This window comes from Homo sapiens, chromosome 15 (genome assembly GCF_000001405.40).
Source record: "Homo sapiens chromosome 15, GRCh38.p14 Primary Assembly".
In the NCBI taxonomy this organism is placed as follows: Eukaryota; Metazoa; Chordata; class Mammalia; order Primates; family Hominidae; genus Homo; species Homo sapiens.
The window spans coordinates 38,119,049-38,120,374 of record NC_000015.10 but is presented as its reverse complement, the minus strand read 5'-3'; the positions used below and the strand labels follow the sequence as shown (position 1 = coordinate 38,120,374).

The 1,326-nt window shown below is 49.9% G+C and overlaps 1 annotated feature.

Moving 5' to 3' along the window:
- Positions 213-402: an enhancer, noted in NCBI's record as "active region_9198". NCBI's record gives its function as "activates an Ori minimal core promoter by ATAC-STARR-seq in GM12878 lymphoblastoid cells {active_cell/tissue: GM12878}" and the evidence as "EXISTENCE:reporter gene assay evidence [ECO:0000049][PMID:35858748]".

Here is a 1,326-nt window from a genome sequence, read left to right as displayed (position 1 = left end):
TAGCAGAGCTCGAGTGTGGGCTGGGAGATCCGCTGCTCTCTTCAGAGCCAGCAGGCAGGAACACTTAAGTCTGCTGAAGCTGTGCCCACAGCTCCCCCTTCCCCCAGGTGCTCTGTCCCAGGGAGATGGGAGTTTTATCTATAAGCCCCTGACTGGGGCTGCTGCCTTTCTTTCAGAGATGCCCTGCCCAGAGAGGAGGAATCTAAAGAGGCAGTCTGGCTACAGTGGCTTTGCTGAGCTGTCATGGGCTCCGCCCAGTTTGAACTTCCTGGTGGCTTTGTTTACACTGTGAGGGGAAAACCAGCTACTCAAGCTTCAGTAATGGTGGACACCTCTTCCTGCACCAAGCTGGAGAGTCCCAGGTCAACTTCAGACTGTTGTGCTTGCAGCAAGAATTTCAAGCCAGTGGATCTTAGCTTGCTGGGCTCTGTGGGGGTTGGATCCGCTGAGCTAGAACACTTGGCTCCCTGGCTTCAGCCCCCTTTCCAGGGGAGTGAACGGTTCTGTCTTGCTGGCATTCCAGGCGCCAGTGGGGTATGAAAAAAAACTCCTGCAGCTAGCTCAGTGTCTGCCCAAATGGCTGCCCAGTTTTGTGCTTGAAACCCAGGGCCCTGGTAGCGTAGGCACCTGAGGGAATCTCCTGGTATGCAGATTGTGAAGACTAGGGGAAGAGCATAGTATCTGGGTCAGAATGCACCATTCCTCATGGCACAGTCCCTCATGGTTTCCCTTGGCTAGGGGAGGGAGTTCCCAGACCCCTTGCACTTCCCGGGTGAGGGGACGCCCCACCCTGCTTTGGCTCACCCTCTGTGGGCTGTACCCACTGTCTAATCAGTCCCAGTGAGAAGAGCCATGTACCTCAGTTGGAAATGCAGAAATCACCTGCCTTCTGCATTAATCTTGCTGGGATCTGCAGACCAGAGCTGTACCTATTTGGCCATCTTGCCAGCCACCCACATTCCCGTATTTTTAAGCAAGCTTTATCTCTCTAGAGCCTTTTCTACTGCCACCATCTTCTCATCAAGTAGATTTTACACTGTGTATGGAGATATTTTACACTATAGGTGGAGAATCAATAAAAACTGGCAAGAGAAGGGCATACTAAGAGAGATGCAATAACAAAATCTTAAAGTTTATGTCCCCACCAACTTTATTTTTTTATGGAATACATAAACATTTAAGAGGGACATTTTTGAAATGGCACCTGAGGCAATCTGTAAACAAAAGCTAGTACAGCAGTATTTCTCAGACTCTTCTAATGAATCTCCCACATCAACATGGGACAAGTATGCTTGCTTCAGATTCAAATTTCTGGGCTCTACCTCA